The sequence below is a fragment of the Homo sapiens genome, chromosome 8 (assembly GCF_000001405.40).
Source record: "Homo sapiens chromosome 8, GRCh38.p14 Primary Assembly".
Classification (NCBI taxonomy): Eukaryota; Metazoa; Chordata; class Mammalia; order Primates; family Hominidae; genus Homo; species Homo sapiens.
The window spans coordinates 2947091-2969731 of NC_000008.11; the positions used below are offsets into that span (position 1 = coordinate 2947091).

General features: G+C 36.7%; 1 protein-coding gene and 1 long non-coding RNA gene across 10 annotated transcripts in view; one reads left to right on the forward strand and one right to left on the reverse strand.

Moving 5' to 3' along the window:
• The window catches only part of LOC105377785 (uncharacterized), a 297276-nt gene that overhangs the window by 220135 nt on the left and 54500 nt on the right, over window positions 1–22641 (forward strand). The window lies entirely within an intron of this gene.
• The window catches only part of CSMD1 (CUB and Sushi multiple domains 1), a 2059554-nt gene that overhangs the window by 11730 nt on the left and 2025183 nt on the right, over window positions 1–22641 (reverse strand). For 3 of the 5 annotated variants that reach the window (NM_033225.6, XM_011534753.4, XM_011534754.2), the window contains 11 exons: window positions 19480–19656; window positions 18685–18864; window positions 16132–16305; window positions 15376–15549; window positions 14051–14124; window positions 10606–10717; window positions 8499–8678; window positions 7134–7178; window positions 4024–4185; window positions 3141–3253; window positions 2209–2296 (listed from right to left, as the gene is read on the reverse strand). In NM_033225.6, coding sequence (NP_150094.5) covers window positions 2209–2296; window positions 3141–3253; window positions 4024–4185; window positions 7134–7178; window positions 8499–8678; window positions 10606–10717; window positions 14051–14124; window positions 15376–15549; window positions 16132–16305; window positions 18685–18864; window positions 19480–19656 — 1479 coding nt within the window. Of the gene's footprint in view, window positions 1–2208; window positions 2297–3140; window positions 3254–4023; window positions 4186–7133; window positions 7179–8498; window positions 8679–8905; window positions 10472–10605; window positions 10718–14050; window positions 14125–15375; window positions 15550–16131; window positions 16306–18684; window positions 18865–19479; window positions 19657–22641 lie in introns of those variants that run through there. The other 2 variants (XM_011534752.3, XM_017013731.2) reach the window with 2 other exon arrangements.

Below are 22641 nucleotides of genomic sequence, written 5' to 3' on the forward strand. Positions count from 1 at the left end.
TAAGAGTTCTTCGTACATTCTGGATACAAGTCACTTATCAGGTACATAATTTTATGTATTTTCTCTCATTCTTTGTGTGTATGTTAGGGTTGAGTCATTCAATCCTAATGAGGAAACCAGTTTATTGTTGAGTTTCTTACGCAAGTTTTTGCATTAAATTTGTCTTTCAAATTAATTTTATTTTAGTATCCACTTAATGACAATCACGTTTTTTGGTTTATCTACTGACTAGAGAAAATTAGGAGGTTATTTTTATCCATAAAAATAGATGCTTGCCATCATTCTTAAATGAATGGTTGCTGTTGCAGAATTACGTAAACACAAACTTTTCTAATTAGTTGAAGGGGGGACTTACTTATGACTCAAATTATTTTGTAAAGTAAACTGTTTTTCCTGACAACAAGCTCATCATCACATGAGAATAAAAATCCCTTGTTAAACCAAGCTGTTATTTTGTTAGATTAAAAAGAAAAGGGGTAATGCAAAGAAAACGTGTAATAGCAAACTGATAGTTCAGGTCAAATTCATTGGATCAGTCAACTTAGACATCTACACAGCATCCTGTACAGCTCACTGGGGTGTCCTTCAACAAAATTACTAGAGCGTGTGCTACAGAGAGAAAGGAGGACAAATAACTCCAGGATTCGGCTTAGAGCAAGAGAAAAAACATCACCCATCATTAGTGTTGGTCTAATGCATTTATTCCATTTCATTACCTCAAAATAATATAACCCAATTTAACATATAATCTCAGCCACTGCCAACATTATAATGTTCTTCTATTTAATAATACTGTGGGTTGAATAGTGGAAGTAAAGTATTTTATGATTAATTATCCTTTTTTTTTTTTTGGCTTTTCTACAGGCCAGTAGACTTTTTTTATATTCAGCACTTTGATAAAAGTCTTACAAAATAAGTTCATCAGTGGTAATCATTACAAAATTGTACACTCACATTCCTCCAAAAGGTGGCTCTGGTATCAAAGCCTATATGGTAATATTCTTCTTTATAGTAATACTGTGTGAATAGTATTCTACAAGTAGGAGAAATATGGTGCCAAGGTTGTTACAAAAATGCGTTTCCTTTTATTTGTGGGTTGCAACAATTATAACGACTTTTGTGCAAAAAGAGCTGTAGCATGCACAAAGCAATGCTTACGTGGCCTCTCAATCTCGTAACAACCTTGGGAACTTCTATACTGAGATTTAAGATGAAGAAATAGGCTCAAGAATATTGTGACCCATCCTAGATGACAAAAATAGGAAGCAGACGAGGTAGCATTCAGATCTGATGATTGTTTCCACATATGTTCCTCCTTTAATCACTAAGGCAAAAATCAAATAGTACAGAAAGCTATAAAGAAGGAAGGAGGACTTACCTGTCTATGTAGAATAAGCTTTTTCTCATTTATAAGTCAAACCTCTTTCCACATCAATATATAGTCCTCATTTCTTTAAATAAATATACTGAATAATAATTGTTTCATAGGTAGTATAATTTGTTACATAAAAATACTCATTGAAGCAATTCTTTCAGCATAGATGGGCAACATGCGGAGGTTATTTCTAAGTTCCACTACTAAAACAATCCTGCTTTGGACACGCCTGAATATGCAGAAAACAATTTACACATTTGCCTGATTAAAAATTCTAGACAGAAAATTGTTGGATGAACAAAGTACTGACCAATTGTATCTACCCATACATCCATCAAAATTAAACATGAGCATCTTTTCCTGCTATCAACCCCAAACCAATTATTAAAACTTTGTCATTCTGATAACTAAAAATAATCATCTTTGTTACTATATAAATATATATATGTATATTTCTGAAGATCTTTTTATATGTTTGTTGGCCACTTTTAATTACTCTTACTTTTTTTTTTTACTTTTAAGAACTCTTAGTTTTCTTTGGGTAATATACTTTGCTTATACTTTGATTTTCATCTTTTTCTCTCTTATTTTTAATAGCTCTTGATATAGTGAAGATATGATGTCTGGCACATTTATTGCATTATTTCCGGCTTTGTGTTTGTGTATTTTGCTATTCAAAATAATTTTTTTTCATTCAGCTGTAAAATATGTTAGTCTCTCTCATTATTTTTGTTTAGGTTTCTTTTAGAGTCGTCTTTTCCATTTCTTCTTAGAAACATCATTGGAAAGCCAAACTGATATTTGCTTTAAAATATATCCTAAGTGCAACTTACCTTGCCTTTCTAGCTTAAATTTTCCAAAGTCTTTTCCATGAATGTCACCTTGAAAAGTAAATCCTCCTCTTTCAAGTCCAGATGACACCTGACACATAGGAAAGAAAAGAAAAGAAATAAAAAGGTATACGAAGGGATGAATAATATCCTCTTTTAATATATCTTTTAATACAACTGTTATATCTCATATTTAGATACTACTGGTTAAATGTTTTATTTTTGCCATGGCTTTTGGTGACACATTTATAGTTAAAGATCAGAAACCAACACAGAAGTGAACTTTAACTAACATATGCAAATGCTCACAATCTCATTTTGATCTCGAAAATGATAGCAAATTTTACAATATATCCATATGTTAACTGCACTTTCTAAGGGAACACAAACGTATGAATTAAGAAATAATCTACATTATGTAAAACTCACTTTGTGTCCCAGCTATTGGGCAGGGTACATCATGTATGGCTGTCTACCCTTAAGTCAGATAGTAAATTAGAACACGAACAAATGGTTAACTTGCAAAGAACGGTGTTAAGGGGGATGTCTTAAATCTTTCTATTTATCTGGGAATGATTTCTTTTAGAACGAGCAGCGTGGTTATCAAGCGGTCTTGGAAAATTTCTGATGGCACCACTCACGATATAACGTAGCAGTAACATCATAGACCCTGGATTTCAGGTCTTGTTCTGTCCTCAACAGTAACCACCCCTTTAAGGATGGCCAGTTCATTGCTTACTTCTTAGACCTGGTTTCTTCCCTTATAAAATGAAGGAATAAAATGGCCACTCTGTCAAGAAGAGGGGCAGCTGAGTTTTCAAGGGGCAGACACAAGACAGCTCTACTCAGAAGCCTCCAATCCGTAGCCCTTGCATCTGCACAGAGAGATGATTAGAAAGCCTGTGCTTTGTCACAGACCTTACACATGTACTTACATAACCATCTAGTCCCCAGTTGTCATTTTCGAACTTGCTTACAAAAATATCTGCCTGGCCTTTAATTTGAAAAGCTTTCAGGAGTAAGTGGGCCTCCTCCTTCTTGTAAATGCCTGTGAAAAGATCAGCAGTTTAGGCTTACCTTGGAGAAAGTTAGTAATTCAGCCCTTTAATCCATTTGATGTGGAATGTGGTACGGAGATGATAATATCATCGATAATAGAAAACTCAAACAGAAATTGTATTTTTATTTGTGAATTTTAGCTTAGGAGCTTCCATTTTCCCCTGAAAATCACTTCTTAAATCCTTGTCTATCTTGAATAGGTATAATCCACTCCACTAAGTTCAATATCCTTATTCCACAGAAAGAATAAAAAATAACATATTTGATTTTGCTAATTAAAAAATCTCTCTCTAAAAAAGTATACAGTAAAAATACATCACAGAATTAATGTAAGAATGAAAATGATAATACACATACAGTGCTTAAAATAGTGTTTGCCATATAAATCGAGGCTGTTTTATTTTATTAATTGTGTGATGATTTTAAAAATCTCATGAAGAGCACATGAGTTAAGAAAAAGTATTAAGAAATAAAGTTTGGAGACATGCAGTATCTGTATACGAATCTCAGATTCTTGACTTAATATGTGCATAATTTTGAGCAAATCAGTTCACTTTTCTGTACTCGTTTTGTAATCTCTAAAATAAGAAAATAATACCAACCTCTCACGGCTAGGGAGAGGCTCCAATGAGTTACAGTATATACAAAGCCAACAGAACAGTAATAAGTACTTAATACTTACTAGATCACCTCTCTGTGAAAAGATAACAGGTCTATTTCTGCTCACACCATGCGTTTAGTGAATTCTTCGGGACCTACCTGTCAACTTCAGCTCCACTGGCGAGGCTTCGCTGAAGGTGGCATTCACCTTACTGCTTGTTGCATTGAACCAGTCAACAGTTAGAGTGGCGGGTTGTCTTTTCCCTAAATATTCATAATACCCCTTCCACAGTGAATTGACGAAAAAGACATCTGAAGGAACTGTGGGAAGGGGGGAAACAGACCAATGTCAGCACACACACAAACAATAAATTCAGACATTATTAAACACAGAAGGCATCATACTGCTTAGCGAGCGATCACAGATGAGGGCAGTGATGAAGACAAGAGGAGCCTAGTGCATCGCTGTTCACAGCACGTGCAAAACTCAAAAGAAGCAGGTGCGAAGATTATTATGGTATGCAAGTAGACACTTGTGCTTATGGGTTTCTTTTATTATTATTAGAAGCCAAAGCATACCTACTTTAACAGCCCTTCCAAGCTCATGGGCTATGGTGAACTGGTACTTCTAATGCTAGTTTAGTTTTTATTGTGCTTAGCAAGAAATATGTTTACCTGACCCATGAAATCACTACTGATATTTCAATGATATCCAAGTCTACTCTTTGAAAGACTTGGAAGGCTCCAAAGAACTGATATATATAATACGAGAGCAATGCCCTGTCTCGAAAAAGCTTACATATCCCAGCACCAAGTGGACTTATGAAGACAAAGCCCTTTCACTTCAGAGTCTTTATTTTGTAAGTAGAGTCCCTCTCTGTCATTCATACTCTTCTGTTCTTCTTTAATCTCTTTATGTAATATATTCCATGAGTAAGAAGAGATGGGCTCAATAATTTCAAATGTTTCTTTTATACATGTCTTTTAAATTCAGTAATGAAAGGCAGTCTTTTTAAAGCACAGAATCCATCGACAGGAAAACTTAACAAAGATTATTGAGATATTTCTTCTTGTTTTCACGGCTTAAGAAAAAAATAAACTTATTTTTCATGTGTCTGTTTAAAAATGTGTATAAAATCCTGCCATTTTCACACATAAACGTGAATTGTAGTGTATAAATTCACATGATGATTTCAGCATTACTCTTTGTTTTCTGCCTTCTGATGTGCATGAATTATTTAATTAGATAAGATTCATGATAAGCATAATTGGTCAAAACACATTGCTTGAGTTGCTAGGTGGAAATGAAGATTCATGTCTCCCTAACCCATTTTTTAAAAAGTCCATTTATAGTCGCAAATAATGAGGACAAAAGTATATTGTTCCTATACCCATGCTTTTCTTTCCAGCCCAACTGGCCATTTTCTTGTTTTCCTAGGCAGGCTGAACCTATAAAACTTGGCCTAGCAAGAGAAGGGTTAAAGAGGAACAGAAGATAATAGCTTCCTTTGGCCTTTTGTAGACCCCACTTTCTCATAATAATAGTGATAATAAAATAAGTAAAAAACTCATATATCCACACAAGTATCTAACACATTTGCTTATAAATCACTGATTTTAGACACATCTGCTTAGCCACTGTCAGCACAACAGAGGCCCCCATTTTAATCAGCAACCTCAAAATAACTTTATTTTCCATTACTAAAATTAATAGCCTTTAAAGTACATAAAAAATATCTTCCCTAATTAGAATTTATATGCTCTTCTGAAGTTACTAATCCACTTGTTCAAGCATTCACTTAAGTTAATCTTGTTGAAGTTTCACAGGAATGGGCCAGGCCTGGCTGGGTAGGGTAAGATACAACCAATGTCTTAGAAGTGGCTTCTGTGTATTAAAATAGGACCACGAGTCATGTGGCAGAGGTCATCTTTCTGGGTCTTTATAATTTCACTTGTTGCTGGCAGCCCGCAGTACAATGCAGCAGCCACATAGCTGAGCTGTACTAGAATGTACCACCATGATGAGGAATCACATTCAATTAGCACTTGCTTTCCAAGAGTACAAGAAAAGGAATATTGATAATAATGTTTGCACCTACAAAAGGAGTGTATAGATATTTCAATATCTTAAACACAAAATAAGCAAATAAAAAACAAAACACACACACAACAATAATAACAAAAAGAGGCTGTGTTTTGTTCCATTGAAGAACATGTTGCCTGGATAAAGAGCACTGACTTCTGTATGTGATTTTTAGGTAATATTTAAATAAAATAGTCTAGAAAGCTTTAAAAAGCATTTTATATTCTTTATTATTCAGATTGGAGAAATTCCTTTCATCATATTGGCACATTTTTCCTTGTCTAAGAATTAAATGTGTCACACAGCATCCTGACAATATTTTTCCTTGTCTAAGAATTAAATGTGTCACACAGTATCCTGACAATAGCAATACAAATACTCTTTCCATGTTTGATTCTAAAATAGAGCTTATGTCCAAAAAAAAAAAAAAACAGTGTTAAAACCTGAATAAAGAAAGTACTAGTCAAGTGATCTTATATATTTACAAAGGATTTCTGTTTCTGATAAAACAACAACAAAATACCCAACTTAAATTAATATAATTTGGGATACATTTTGTTATTTAAAAATAATTTAAATTTAAAACACAGAACATGCCAGATGATTTTGTATAGTAAAAACTTTCCTTGGGAAATAGGACTGCATCTTTGCGATTTGCTATATAATGCTTTTAGCAAAAGGTGCCACATACAACAAAAAACTATAATTAACATTTTAGAAGGCAAAGCATGCCTAGATGAATGGAGACACTTGGAAAAAAATTGGGCTCCATGTCTGAACTGTTTACATTAACAACTTATGCTGTGAAAATGCCTCATTGATATGAGCTTCCTCATTTGGAGGAAAAAAGTCGCAACCCTCTTTATAAGGCTCTCCATTATACCACATGGAACGACCAATGTTTTCATTTCTGCCTACCAAATGCCGAAGGCAAGTTTGAATGAAACAGGGTGTGATAACACCAAAGGTTTTCTTTTTAAGGGAAGTAATGTTATTTCATTAACAAACCATTGTTGTGAAATAAACAGAATTCCATGTAAGCTTGGTGTTTTAAATAATTGAAACATTAACTTGGTCGTGGACTAACGGATTCAGAAATTTAAATGTTGAAAATAGTTTCACTGTGCAGAGTAGAGAACAAATCACTTTATTGGATTGAAATCTAGAACTGTTCTGGTATACAAACCTGGAGTTTTAGTAACTGTTTCATTAACTTCTCTCACTCCTTTACCTACAAGTAAAAAGACAAATTATCATTTTAAAAAAAACATTTATTTTTGAGTAAGTTTGAAAAAATGTCAAATTGAAGCAATTTTCCTTTCTCCAGATTTTTTTAATGTACAAAATATGAATACCTTATACATATACATTTTAAACTCATGTCTTTACAGCAGAATATTCTTGGTGTTTGTGGGAAAGCGGAGTTTAAGGATGAAAAATCAATGTACATCTATCTACGTATATTTCCATTTAAAGTGCTACAACAGAGAGCCTTGCAAAGGAGGGTGCCTTCTATGACATTTCTTGTATCCTGTTTGGAATACCCTGCCACATACTAAAAGGTAACACCCCACCCAAATAACCATGATGTTACAGTCCCTCTTCATTGACCAATACCCCACCCAAATCAATCAATTTATACGTTACTACTGAAAAATTCAAAATTATTTCCATTGCAGAATGTTCATTTTGGTCTATCAAGTTAGATTTACGTCATAATTTCTTAGCTTTCACAGTTTTAGATCAAACTACGAATTACCATTTTAAAAGTTTTCATTCTTCTATTTCTAACAGGGAAGGGCAAGGGAAACAAAAGTCTCTTTAAAATCCCTAATATGAGAACTATAAATAGGCTCCAGGAAACAAAACCTAAAGTCACTGACTGTCTCACACGCCATCATTTTTGGTTTATGCTGTTTAGACTCCATGGATTTATAAATTACAAACAGGGGAGAACCTGTAAGTGTAGCTATCGTCAAATCTGACCCAGGCTGATGACTCTCACTTGTAAACACACAAATTTGTAATTAATGGATCGTTTCCATGTGAATTGCTTTTGTAATTTTAAAAAGCAGAATCAATGTCAGGGACACATAAACTGAGGTTTTACCACAAACAGCATGTGGTCTTAAAAATAAGACAGAGTTTCATTTACCTATTCTCGGATACTTGGTGACCTTTATTCATTTTCATCTCTAAGAACTACTTTTCCTGAAACTATACCAAGTATTATTTTCCTTTTAACTCAGAATGCTTTTCTTTAACCAAATAGCTTTTCTCTTTTGGCTTGAAATAATGCAATCATTTTATTATGTACTAATTGCATACTAATTGTACTATATATTTAGCTATGCCACCATTGCATCAAACACTGAGGATACACACGTTCACACACACAGCTCACGCACATGAAGCACGACTGAGGCAGGTGGCGATGCTGCAGCCTCATGCTCTTACTTATGGGTCTCACACGTGGACACTAGCCTGATGGGCAGCTGATCCTTTCCCTTGCTCTTTGGAAAAGTATGCCACTCCTTGATCAATGACTTACTTTTACACACAGGCGACTTTCCTGTCCATTTCATGTCTGCTTTACATGTTCTGTGCTCAGATCCCCCTGCGAGGAAAAAGCCTGGATGGCAGGTGTACACTAAGGTGTAGCCGAAAGTAGGAAGATCGATGGCTCTCACATCCGCGTGTGCCGGGGTTTCTGGCTGTCTGCAGGCATGAGCTGAAACAACATTAGGAAACATTGAGACTTTGTTTATTGTAAAGTTAGCACATGTGTCTAGAGAAATTAATAGATTAAAATAGTTTGGAAATGGTTATGCAGTCAATATGTATATATACATATATATACACATATATATGTATATTTTTTTTGGTAGAGATGAAGTCTTGCTATGTTGTCCAGTCTGTGCTAGAACTCCTGACCTCAAGCTATTCTCCTGTTTTGACCTCCCAAAGTACTGGGATTACAGGCATGAGCCACTACACCCATCCTATATATATTTATACATAGGTAATTATGTGCAAAGATTTAGAGATCACAGCTTTGAAATAAAAACACTTCTGCTATACTACCGAAATAAATATGTTAAAGATCCTTAAAAGCCCAGTCTTATAAATTATAGAGACTGGTGAATATTTAGATATGCCTTGATTTTGTTCTTGTGGAAACTACCAAATTTATTACTCAATTTAATTAATTATTTTGATAAAACTTTAATGTGTATTTAGAAACTTAATATAGATTCTTATTTTCTTTGAAATATAATTTAGGAATAAATGAGACTGTGATGTATACTCTATATCTCAAATCACTCCATTCCTTATAAAGTTTGCATACATGCTGCAAATAAAGGATTGACATATTATTATAAAACAAGTTTACAATTTTATTTATTTATTTTTATTTATTTATTTTTTATTTATTTTTTGAGTCTCGCTGTGTTGCCCAGGCTGGAATGCAGTGGCACGATCTCCGCTCGCTGCAAGCTCCTCCTCCTGGGTTCACGCCATTCTCCTGACTCAGCCTCCCCAGTAGCTGGGACTACAGGCACCCGCCACCATGCCCGGCTAATTTTTTGTAGTTTTTTTAGTAGAGATGGGATTTCACCATGTTAGCCAGGATGGTCTCGATCTCCTGACCTCGTGATCCACCTGCCTCGGCCTCCCAAAATGCTGGGATTATAGGCATGAGCCAGCATGCCCAGCCAAGTTTACAATTCTAAAATTGTGCATGCAGTTGTTTTGAATGTTGTCACTATTTCACTAATTAGTAACCACAACAAATACCTGATATTATCAAGCTCCATATTATATATAAACATGCATATATATATGTGTATGTATATACATATATATGTACATGTACTATCAACATATAATTTGAGTAATGATTTAGAGCAGAGATAATTTTAAAATAAATACACCCAAAAATCACACCTTATATACTGAGATTTTTATAACATTCTATTAATGTTTTTATTTTTAATACAGTAAGAATAAGACACCGCATTTCACTAAATTCAGAGTGAGTGAAATGAATAATTCACATACTACTCATCCATATATTTTTTCTAATTCTCATGATTAAGTCACAAAATAAAATGTGATCCTTAAGTATGTATTTGAATGATCAATTCATATATACTTCCTGTTATAGCAAGAATAATTTTTTAAACACTTCTACTTAGACTCTGACATATGACGTTATTCAGTTCATCCTCTCTTTGGTAATTTGATGTAAATATCCTAGGAGAATAATAGCACGTACAAATAAGTTTTCCCTCTAAGAATGTTCAATATAACATTATGCACTTATCTTCGGTTTCATGCAGTTTCTCAGACTTTACAGTGCCTGAGAATCTCCTGGAGCGCTTGTTAAACTAAACTGTCCCCCTTCTCTCCTCCCTGGCTCCCTCCAGAGGCTCTGGTTCAAGGTCAAGGATGGGGCTTGAGAGCAGCCTTCACAGCCCAATGTCCAGCCAATGGTTATGCTGCCAGTTCTAGGGAACCAAACTTTGAGGACATCCGAAAATTTAGGATTAGGGAATTAAAAACAATTTCTCATTATTTCCCTTAGTGGTAAACACGTCTCAGACATTCACAATAAATAGGTGACTTGTGATGGGGGTGGAAGAAATCACACTTACGTATACATTCGGTCTGTATCCCACTCCATGTTAAATTGGCAAGGCAGGTGCGAGTCGTGGAACCTTGAATATGGTAGCCTTTTCTGCACCTGAAAAAAACCGTGCTTCCAACCTAGAGAGGAAATCCAATACTAGCTTCAGAGGCCAAGGGAATATACGAAGTGTCAACTAGTGATACCTGAAAGTACACGCCCGAGTAAAAGTACAGCAGCAACTTTTCAGGTTAATGTCAAGCCACTGTCTAAGTCAACATGTACATTTTAACTGCCTGCTACAGTGTTACACACAATGTAGATTGCTCAATGAATAATGTAAGATCTTCTCGAATTTTGAAAATTTAGACGGCTGTTTGGGTAAAGAAATTATGCCTTTTCTGTTTTAGAGTTCTTTCTTTTTTGTTTGTAATAATTATTATTTCCTTTTTCATTTTTTTCCTGCCACTCACATTTGAAACAACTGGTATTTATTAGAAAATTACTTTTGTTAGCATTCCAAGGGGATTGGTCAACTCCTACTCATACAGAGTCCACCAAAACTCTACCTGTCTTTCTGATGCTTCAAACTGTACAAACTATTTACTGTTGTCTGAATGTCTGAGGCGTCTTCCTCACCAGGTCTTCACAAAGCTAACCCCCACTTAATTCTCTGTACTTTGCTTAAACTGCACATCCGCTGCAGATTCTTCTCTGATCCTCCAAGAATGAATCACATTCAGCTTGAATGCATTTCCCCAACGTATCTGCTCCACTCACCACAGTGTCCTGGAATTACCTGTATATTTATTCACCCATGTGTGTTCCTAATTTAACCAGAGGTGCCTTGAGGGGCAGATTCCTGTGATCTGTAAATGTCTTTTTTAGAGAATGAGCTATGGTCGTGTGTTGAGGGGCACCAAAGATCATCCATGGTTCTGTGTATCTGCAGCATGAGGCCAGCATGACTCATGTATACAGGGAGAGGAAAGCAGCCCCCAGGGAAGGCGGGTTTGCACTCATCCCAGCTTGGCTTGGGACCAGATTATTTCCTTAAAGCTTGACTTATGAAGGCACATAAGTGCACCAAGTTAGCATCCAAAGATTTGAATTCCCCTCTTGTTTCTTGCTCTGAGAATTTTAACCAGTTATTTAATTCCCTGTGTCTGCCTTCTCACAGGCATAAGCCCATACCTCCCATGTTGGGATTCCGGGAAGAATAACTACAAGTAAAATGCAAGGAAATAGTTGGTACACTGAATAGTGTGAAAGGATATCAGGAGAAAAAAAATGCTGCTTCTAGCACTTGATAAAGTGGAAGTATGAATTTATAAAGAAAAGTACAAATTTATCTAAATGTCAAATCAATAGCTAATTTAAGATTCAATGATGGGAAAGCGTTGACTCATTTACTCTTGATTGATTGATTGATTGACTGATCGATTTAAACTTTAGAGTCAGGGCCTCTCTCTATTGCCCAGAGTATACAGCACAGTGGTGCAATCATAGCTCATTGCATCCTTGACCTCCAGGGCTCAAGTAGCTCCCATCTCAGCCTTCTGCACAGCTGTGACAACAGGTGCACCTTACCATGCCCAGATGATTTTTTGTATTCTTTGTAGAAATAGGGTCTTGCTATGTTGCCCAGGCTGTTCTCCTGGCCTCAAGCGATTCTTCTGCCTGGGCCTCCCAAAGTGCTGGGATTACAGGCGTGAGCTGCTGCTCCCAGCCCACTTCCTCTCTATCAGGAACGGTGTCCATCAACTCTCCATGCAAGCATGTTTGCAATTCCAACCAGACCTCCTGGTAAACATGCTGACATTCTCAGGAAGGTCATGGATAACCTGTATCATTTACTGGCAGAAAGAAAATACAGTCTCCTTCTCAATAATTTTTTTTTTAGCAGAATATACCGAGCCACTGCAAACTGATTATCATACACTAACCCTGGAGCTACGGGTTTCGGGGACACGCTGGCTGGAGAACGGGAGGTAGTCATTTAAGCTGCAAGATTAACATAGCCTAACACAGGGACATTTCACACTGAAATGGCTCACTTTGTGTAAGTAAGGTTTCAGCATATGGTGCTAAAGAAAACAGACAAAAATCTCATTGGTTACTTTAAAAACTAAAATGTTCCTAATAAAGGAAGAAATAAAAACATTTGGGGAGAGCTGCATTTCATGGTCTCAACCTTCTCCTTAAAACATGGTGTCTGGGCTCTTTAAATTATTAGTAAATCTTGCTGTTGGATAAAATCAATTATTCGTGTTAGTGTAACTAATTTGTTATAAGGAGGGTGAAGGATTTATCCAACCCTATTAGTGTCATATGATAGGTTATAGAACTATGTTGCTAAATACAGTCATCATTGACTTTTAATTACTGTAAGTTGTACATAGGCAAGTTAAGAATTGCTCAAAGCAATGGTGATCAAAATTTTATTTTTCTTAGTGAATCAGTGAGAGCGACATCCATATATAGTATTTTCCAATATTCCTTGACAATTTGGCATTAAATATTTATATACCTGAAAGTATTTACTTGAAGTTTAAGGCAATATTTGAGACATAATAGAAAATGTGCTAGAGTCAGTATATTATTAGCTCCCTGTAAGGACTTCCCCTGTGGGATGCAAGAGAGCTACAAGGAAATGGCCACTCTGTGTCCGAGCGAGAACAATGGGAATATTTTCGTGCTCACGAGAGATGGGGAAAGTGGCTGAGGAAGAAGGTTTTTTATTCTTAATTGATGAGATCCCTATATAATTAACTTTTGTTTTCAAAGTCATCCAACCAGATAACAGTGAAGTTATGGGAGTACTTAAGATGGTTAAAACATTTTATTTCAAGCTTCATTACCTTCCACTTTTAGGTATTTCTCCAACGTTCACTGAAGTGTTAGTGTTCATTTTATTAAAAGTCAAATGAACGTTCCAAAATGATATTTAGTACGCTAATAATTCATAGAAATTTAAAGATCATACGGAGAACTAATTTCACAAGTAAGTTTAGACTAAGGGGCTTACATACATTTTCTCCTATTTTTATCTCTAGAATTTAATATTATTTCCCCACTATATCCAGTCCCTAAGTGGAACCTTTTATGGGTAGCTAATCAGTGACAAGTTACCCCAATCTGAGAACTGCCGTGAGAATTTAACAGACAAATAATAGAATCATGCATGATTTCAAATAGAAAATAATGTAATAGTTGCTATGTTAATTTCTATATGAAATTATGCATTATTCCATTATTATCTAGTAAGCAAGATATATATATATATATATATATATATACATATATTGATTTTGACAGTTAAAAACACATGTAGAAATCCCCTTTGAACGAATTTTATTCAGGTAAATATAACATGAATAAGGTATGATATAAAAAAGCACTCACATATGTTTAAGTAACAAATATATTTTATATTTCCAGAAAGAAAACATAGTAAATTCATAATGAACTACCTCATAGCCTCTGGAGCTATTCTGTATTCCAAAGTGTGGCGTACCAGGGTCTGGGCAGGTGTTATGAGCAGGATCTGAAATTTGTGATTTAAAAAGAAAAGAGGGCACCAGATATAGTTATTGTGAGAATTTTAACAGCTTTCACTAAAAGGTCTCATGAAATAGAGAAAATATTGTTTTGAGAAATGTGCAAGATGTTTTTCAGGAAAGTTAAAAATTAAATTGCTACTTTTATCTTCTCTTCAAGACATGTTTTTTAGATGTTAACTTTTAGACTTTAAGTAGTTCAGTATGTTCTTCTTATATAAGAATAAGTGCATTTTTTTTCCATTCTCTGGCTTTTTTTTCTATAGAAATATATTTGGTCAATGATATACTATCTTCAATAATGACCTATCACTATCTTTTTGCTTATTAGGATTCAATAATTGGCCATCTCATTTGGTTACCCATTACATTATTCTGAGTTTCTTTAATTAATTTTCCTCAACATTTCAAAATGAAAAATATATTTAATGCTTCATAATGGAACCACATGGAAAACCAAGAGTGACATTTTTCAAAAAACACAGGACTTGGGTAACCCAGTGGCACTTCAGCTCTCTTACTTGCTGCTCTACAGTTACCAGTAGAAAAACAAAACAGATAACTTCTTAAAACCTGTTATCTAGAGTGACTAACCTTCTAGGGGGAAGAAAAATATTTTTAGTGTAGAGATAGCTACTGTATAGCAATAGTTTAAATCAAATGACAGCAAATATTCTTCTAATTAGAAAAAATGCTTCAATGACAATATTTCTTTAATACTATATTTTCTAGGTGGATACTATTCAATTTCTTAGAAAATAATCAAGACTAAGTATTACTTTTTTACTAAAAATTAGTAGAACACCCATTATTCTGCTTAGTAAATCTCAATGAACAAAATTAACCCAGCGATAAAACTTGACTCTGCAGCAATAAAACAACAGCAAGACTGTCTCTCTGGGGAGGGCTGCTTTAGAGAATGTTCCTACCTGCACCTTTCCCCTAAACAATGCAATTGGCAGTTAAGGTAGACAGCGGAGAGAGCCACTGAGGTCAGAGAACAAAGTCTAGTAGCTACTTTAGCAGACTTCTGACTTATTTTGCATGATTTAAAAGAGGTGGCACATCAGTTTAGCTGATGAGTGCGCAATCCTACTCAGTGCAAAAATTATTACCTTGTACAGAAAACTGTCTATGGAAACACTTTCTATGTAATCACAAATGACCCAATTTCGGAATGAAGCGTCCTCATCTCCAAATACTCCCAGGTATCCCCAGAGCTGTATGATAATTATTACCAATGCAGGTGGGTTGTATGCCGCTCCACGTGCCGTCAGCTTGGCAGACTCTTCTGGAGGATCCCACGAGTATAAATGGAGATTTGCACTGGAAGAAGACTTCGGACTTATAGGTGAAACTTTTCCCACTAAGTCGCCCTTCTGCGGGGATGCCAGGGTCTCCGCAGAACACAGCTATGGAAGATAACCAGGAAGAAGTCAGCCTTCAACGTCCCTGGATCAGCTTCACCAATTGAGCTTGGTAACTAGTTTCTGTTAAATCTTTAGCTTTAACTATTAAACAAGAAAAACGCTAAAAGGAGGCCAGGCACGGTGGCTCACGCCTGTAATCCCAACACTTTGGGAGGCAGAGGCAGGCGGATCGCTTGAGCTCAGGAGTTCGAGACTAGCCTGGGCAACATGGCGAAACCTATGTCTACAACAAATACAAAAATTAGCTGGGTTTGGTGGCACACACCTGTAGTCCCAGCTACTCGGGAGGCTGAGGTGGGAGGATGGTTTGAGCCCGAGAGATTGAGGCTGCAGGGAGCTATGATTGAACCACTGCACTCCATCCTGGGCAACAGAGTGAGGACCTGTCTCAAAAAGGAGACTCTGCCCTTAGGCAACACAGTCTCAAGTTTGAGTTTTTGTGTATTTTAGGGCTATTATTACCCACCAGGAAGGTCCTCAGATTGTAACCTTAGGATGTGCCCTGGTTATCCGTCCCTGTTGCAGACCTGCAGTGGGCGGAACAAATTCTGCTGTAGAACTTACGGAGACACTGGGGGATCTCTCCTTTCCACACCCCGCGACCTTCACAGGAGAGGATGGCGGAGTGAGAGAGCTGGTAACCGTCCATGCAGCTGTAACTTATGCTGGAGCCCCAGCGGAAATCACTTCCCTCCACTGTTCCATTCTGCACCGGCGGCGGCTGAGGACACAGCACGGCTATTTCCAAAGAACAAACAAGATCAACATTCCGGAGCTCCCGCTGCAGCGGTGATGTTCAAACGATTCCCATTTTAATTTTACCTGAATTACAAATGACATCTACATAGGTTTTTAAAAAAAAATAATAAAAGAATTGCCAAGGAAGACAGTACATCAAAATAACAAAATATTTTTTAGAATATTTCTTCATTAATATCGATGAAGTCTATAAAAGCAAAGTCAAGTCAAAACATATAGGATTGAACATGACATTCCCAATATATACAAGGCCAAGAAAGGAAGAAACGTTCTTGCTTAATTTGTGTCTTTTTATGATGGTTACCAAAGACAATTCGAATGAGGATTTGGTCAGATGACACAAATTTATAGGCACAGATGGTAAGAATTTTTCTGGCCATCTGTATTTTTTATTTAAAGATGGCATATAGTTTCCAAAAGACACAGTCGGTCCATCTATTTACTGAATATATTTTTTTAGAAATGCCTGAATGGTTAAAGAAGATGCTGTGGAATACCATTTGCAAGTGTTTCATCACAGCCTTGGAGCCTGATGTCCACTTTATGGGGCTGAGAAGCAAGCACGTGGTTGCTAGGGAGGATTTCCCCGAGGGTGATGTCACGAGAGATCACCTTCCCCACTCTAGAAATTATACTAAAATGCACAAAGGGAGGCAAAAATCCAAAAACCACTGTCTAAAATCCTTCTTCTCTGAAGATACACAACTTCCCTAGTTTTTGAAATGAATGGAAGTTTCCAAGTGACCCTGTAGGTAGCAGAAGGCACTACAAAAGAACAACCGCTTGCATTTTGTGTGTTCAGGCTCATGCCTTCTCACGTGAGAAAGACATGCCAACACACACAAATCACATGTGCACACCCAAAAGTTGGAAATGGGTCCTTCCCTCACCACTCCACCTTCTACTGATCTGTTCACTCGTTCAACAAATCCTTCCTGAGACCCCACAGCGAGGGCTGGGGAAATGCGTGTTCTGGCCCAAGGGAATGTCCAGGGGGAGGCCCCAGTTGGAAGAGACCTGAGCTACATGGGTCCCCTGGGGGCAGGGGGAATGGGAGGAGACAAGTTCAAGGAGGGACAGAGAGAGAAAGAGGTCCCATCTGGTAGGGACTTGCTGGCCGTGGTGTTGTTACAAACACAATGGGTACTAGAAAGAGGATAAAAATCCACAGAATTATGCATGAAGCATATTTTATTGGCAATTTCCATCATGACCATTTGACCTGAATACTGCCGACACAACGTAGTGCATTTTCATTCAAATTCAACATTTATTTAGCGTCAGCTATATCACAGGTGCAGTATTAAGAGTTACAATACAAAGAAGGGAAGGCAATGAGATCCTTTGACTCTACTGGGAGACGAAAGCAGGATGGTCCAAGAACACGCCCATGTCAGAAGAGAGAGAAAGCCATATTTTTGAGCATTCAGGTCACATTTAAGCCTCTGCCACATTTAACCATGTGTCTTGCAGAACTCACCGAAGATGAAACCTTCTCCATAAGCTACTGAGTGTCCTAACTCTCCCTCCCTCAGTATTTTATTTGTTCCTAGTCTAATAAGGAGGAGAATGCCATCTTCTTATGTTTGGTCACTGACAGCTTTCAAGCCCCTCTCTCCCCCTCTTCTTGTCCTTCCTCTGCACCAGCTGATAAGAAAGTCTGGATAGTTCTTCTTTGCTTCTGGTAAATAAACTGTCACCACGCAAATCCCTGGCCCTTGCACAGCCGCCACTCAGCCCTGCTCCCTGTCACTGTAAGAGCCAAGCCCACTCACTCTGCTTTACTGAAGCCACCTTGATGAGTTGAGCCTGTCTTGATTTGCCCAGAGGGTCCAGTCACATAAGTCATAAACCTCTTCCTGCCTTCTCGGCCAGTGTCATCTTCAGTCTCGGCAACCAAACCCCATGAAACATCACGGTGCTAACACTCTCTACCAGTGCTCTGCCATTACTAGGTGATTGGCTCGTCTCTCCAACCTGCCTCTAAATTCCTACAATTAGATTCACCATGCCACGAACACCTCACACAGCTAGGGTCACAGGTTTACCCAGGACAGCAAAGCACTGGGGTTCAGACACAGACTCTAGGGTGGCGTGACCGTCACTGAACCCCGACATCTCCAGTTCCTGGTTTGTGATCCTAAGCCTTTTCCTCTACCTCGCTATGAGTTAGTTTTTCCATCTGTAAAACTGAGATTAAAGTATTATAAAAATAAAGTGACTTAATAGTTGCAAATTGCTGTTCAAGAATTCCTAGCCCCTAGAAGGGCTACATAAATGCTTGCAAAATTAAACAAAGCATAATTCAATAAAGACTTCTATACACATCTGTAAAATCCAAAGAGTCACCAAACAAACCTTTGCAGACAGGTTTGCTCGGATTCCACCTGCCGTCTTTGGTACAGCGAATAGTGGCGGATGTGACTGCTTCCATGACATAGCCTGGGTTACACTGATAGCTCACAGTCTTGTTGAAGGTGAAGTCGGTCCCAAACTGGATGCCATTTGCTAGTGTGCCTGGATCCCCACAACTTATAACTAATAAACAGGGAACAGGAAAGAATCAGAGAAATTCATTTACCATGAAATGAATTAGTCACCATTTCTATTCAAGATACTCTCTCTGAGTTGCTATTCACAGTGGTTAAGCAGTGAATTAATACAGCAATACTACCCTCTGTGTGATGATTTCACTGACCCGCTGTCAGAAGGAACACTTGTATTTTGAGAATCACTGATTTCTGTTCCGTTGGCAGCTGGCTGTCAGATGCTGACTTCCACCCCTTGACTAGCCCCTAATTAGGCATGGGGTATAATCAGAAAGATGAAGCCTGCAGCCAGAGAACCAAAGACATTTCTTCTTTCTCTGCAGACCCAGTGGTCTACAGACAAAGTCTGGACTTTTTTGGTCTCAATTTTACAATGTTTGACTGAACTGGCCTTTTAAAGTAGCTTCAGCCATACGAATAAGCAACTGGAAAAAAAATCTTAAAGTACTTAAGAAATACAGCCACAATGTCACACATAGTTTTCCCTTTTTTCCTCTATGAATTAAAAATAAAAAAACAGTATAACACCTTAAAGTCATTTTTTTTCCCAATGGAGTGAATTTCATAGTAACGTCTGAGTCTACCATGATGTCTGCTTACTAACTTGTGCAGTCGGGAGCAGTGCCTGTCCAGGTCCCATTGGCTGTGCAATGCCGTGTCATGAGCCCTGAGGTCTTGTAGCCTTCCCAGCAGGCATAGATGACCGAGCTGGAGAACAGAATGCCATCACTACTGACAATCATTCCGTTGGTGGGTGTGCCAGGGTTGCCACAGGACACGGCTGTTAGGCAAACAAGAACACCACCACACACAGTGAGTGACCCAGCATGAAAATGGCAAACACAAGAGACCAATGGGTATCAGTGCAATAGACTACACATTTATTACAAACCCAAAGCACACAATCCTATGGAAGTTCCTTAACATATGGCTTACTATGGCTCATATGTTTATTTTACTGATTAGCTACAAATATAAAAATAACCTTTCAATTCGTCTTTTCTAAAGTGAACTATTTCTAAACAAATTAAAACATGAGTTAAAGCACTAAAAGTTCAAGGCCCTGTTATTCAGGGACTGAATGTTTTTAATAGCCTTGCTATTTGGGGATTGAATGTTTTTAATGCCGTGACAGAATTGTTGTGATTTTTAAAAAAGAATATCTATGATATTAGCAACACTGAAGCATCTTCCTTTATGTAATCACTGTATTTTTTTAAAATCTAGGCAATTCAGGTCCTATTTTACATCTCCAGGAGAATTCACTTTGGAAAATAAAGAATGCCTCAGAAGTATGAATGACTGTACTTGAACTGCTTTGTAAAATGGTGTCCTCAATAATTACCAGCTCTAATAGCAGCTGTGTTAATTGGCTTTGACATGATTGAACTTTACATTTCTCTCAAAAGGCTCCTAATGCCATGTACAGGCAATAAGGCCTCAATTAACGATGGTCAGTGCAACAGGTCTACACTCTGTGCCTATTTTTTACGCTCTTTAGTCAGTAAACAAAAGCAAGCTCGGCTGCCGCTGGGTACGTTTCAGGGTGAACATTTCAATCTACACTTTTTTTTTTCCCTTTTTTAGTCGAGCCTATTTACCAGAAAGATTGCTACATTTTCTCCTTAGTACTGTTGCAATAATATACAATAGGCAGGTAAATAAAGGAAGTGACCCTTGGCTGGTTAACAAGAATATATATCATGAGACTGCCTCTGAGCTGATCAAAATATTTAAAAATACTTTTGCACATTTAATTGAAACAATTTCAAATCTGGCCTGGAGAACAAAGATATATTTTTCTTAAAAGAACATGGAAGAAAACATCCTGCAAAATTTGCTCAGCACAGAGAAGTCACTGTACTGGGAGTCGAGGGACTACCCTTCTGATTACATAGAAATAAAGCACTTGTGCTCAGGTTGAACTGGATCTTGTTTGAAAAAAATAATACAAAGTGCACACGCTGGTGCTTCCTGGTCCCGTGCCAATGGCAGACAGAAGTACTCAATCACAGCCCTCTTCTCTGATGGTTCACGGTGTGACTTCCAACCCCTTCTAACACAGACCTATTAGTAGTTTCCTGGTTGGCATATGAGTTGGGATGTATTTACCAATCCAGAAGCACATACTATTTAAGGCTCTCTAAAACTTGAAAGTTTTATGATAACTATACTATATATCAAAATTTCATTTTGCAATAATTAAGGGTTGGACTATCCAAGACAACTATTCATTCAACAAACACATATTCCTCACTTACTGTGCAACAGGTACTGTGTGGATGGGCTAATGGAAAGCCTGTCACAGAAAGGGAGTGAGTTTGGTCCAATTCATAGTTTAACAAACCGAAAGAGGACACTGATGTTATTGTTACATTGTATTCTAATTACATTTGCTATTCAATTGTATGTCTAAATCTTCAAAAGCCACCTAGGTAGAACCAATACTTAAACAAGTCAAATAACCGATGAAAAATTTCAATTCAGTTTGTAAGGAAACTAAAATGTTAGTTTGCTAATATTGTTAATGAATGAGTACCAGCATAATGCTATCCTAATATTGGGAATGTCCCCTCAAATATTGTACTGTGGAAAGTAAAATTCATGATTAGTTTTTTTCTCTTTTTTTGGCTGACAAAAACCACTTTCACTCACGGTTATAACTATGAAAATGACTAGAAGGCAATGTCAACATATCCGCTTTTCTATCAATGCAATTATGTAAAATTATAAGACAGGACTAAGACTAAAACAAAACAATAGATTAAATTTAGAGGAGAAAAAAGAACAATAAATTAGAAGAGGAAAAGTAAACTGGAAGAAGAAAAATAAATTAACCTGTAAGTTTAAACTTTGCCATATTTTCTCTTTCCTGAGTTTATTTTCTTTTGAAATATGCTTTTATAAAAAGTACATTTTGTTAACGTGACTTCTTCAGCTAAAACATAATTTCTTTAACTCAGCATATAATAAAATATTATGCTTATTTTAAATATACTTTATTATTTACAAATATTAGTACTGTTCATTTTGCATGCTACATGACAAAAATTGCTGTTAAATTGAGTTAAATAGATGTGAATATCTGCTCATGCAAGTTAAATAAACCTGAGCAATCAATTTAAATTCCTTAGATATAGTGCCTTTAACCATAAAATGAGTATTATAAAAATACTTATTCCCGGCTGTTACCAAATTACCCACGCTATATGTAAAATGCCTAGTGTGAGATCTGATGTATTAGTGGTAGCAATGAGTTAGCTTGTAGCTTATGCTATTGTTATTTTCATCATCATCACTCTTACTTATTGAGTAAAGTGTAGCTTTATCATAATTTCATCTGAAAGAGAATTAAGAGTTCCCTAATACAGCTGAAACTAAATATTTTAGTTATGTAATGCAACTTCATGAGATAGATCCATTTGAAATCTTAAGCTTGAGCCTATGATTAAAAGACTAGATGGCTAACAAAAGCAAATTTGATTTAATGTGAAGGAAATATATCTGCAATATAAATTCTTTGAGTTGAAGAATTTAAAAAGATTTTTCGTTTAGAATTATAATTTCCTCCTCCTTTTTATAATTTATTCAATTTACCATCAGTATCTAACTTTTTGACAGATTTAGAGGAAATAATTTCATCAGGTTTGCAATAATCTTAACTAGGGGATTAGTCAAGTCATAGCTAGTCATAGAAGCTACGCTTCCTGGAAATGCAACCACTGGTTACATCCTTTTTCATCGAGAGGAACTCACACTTCAGTGA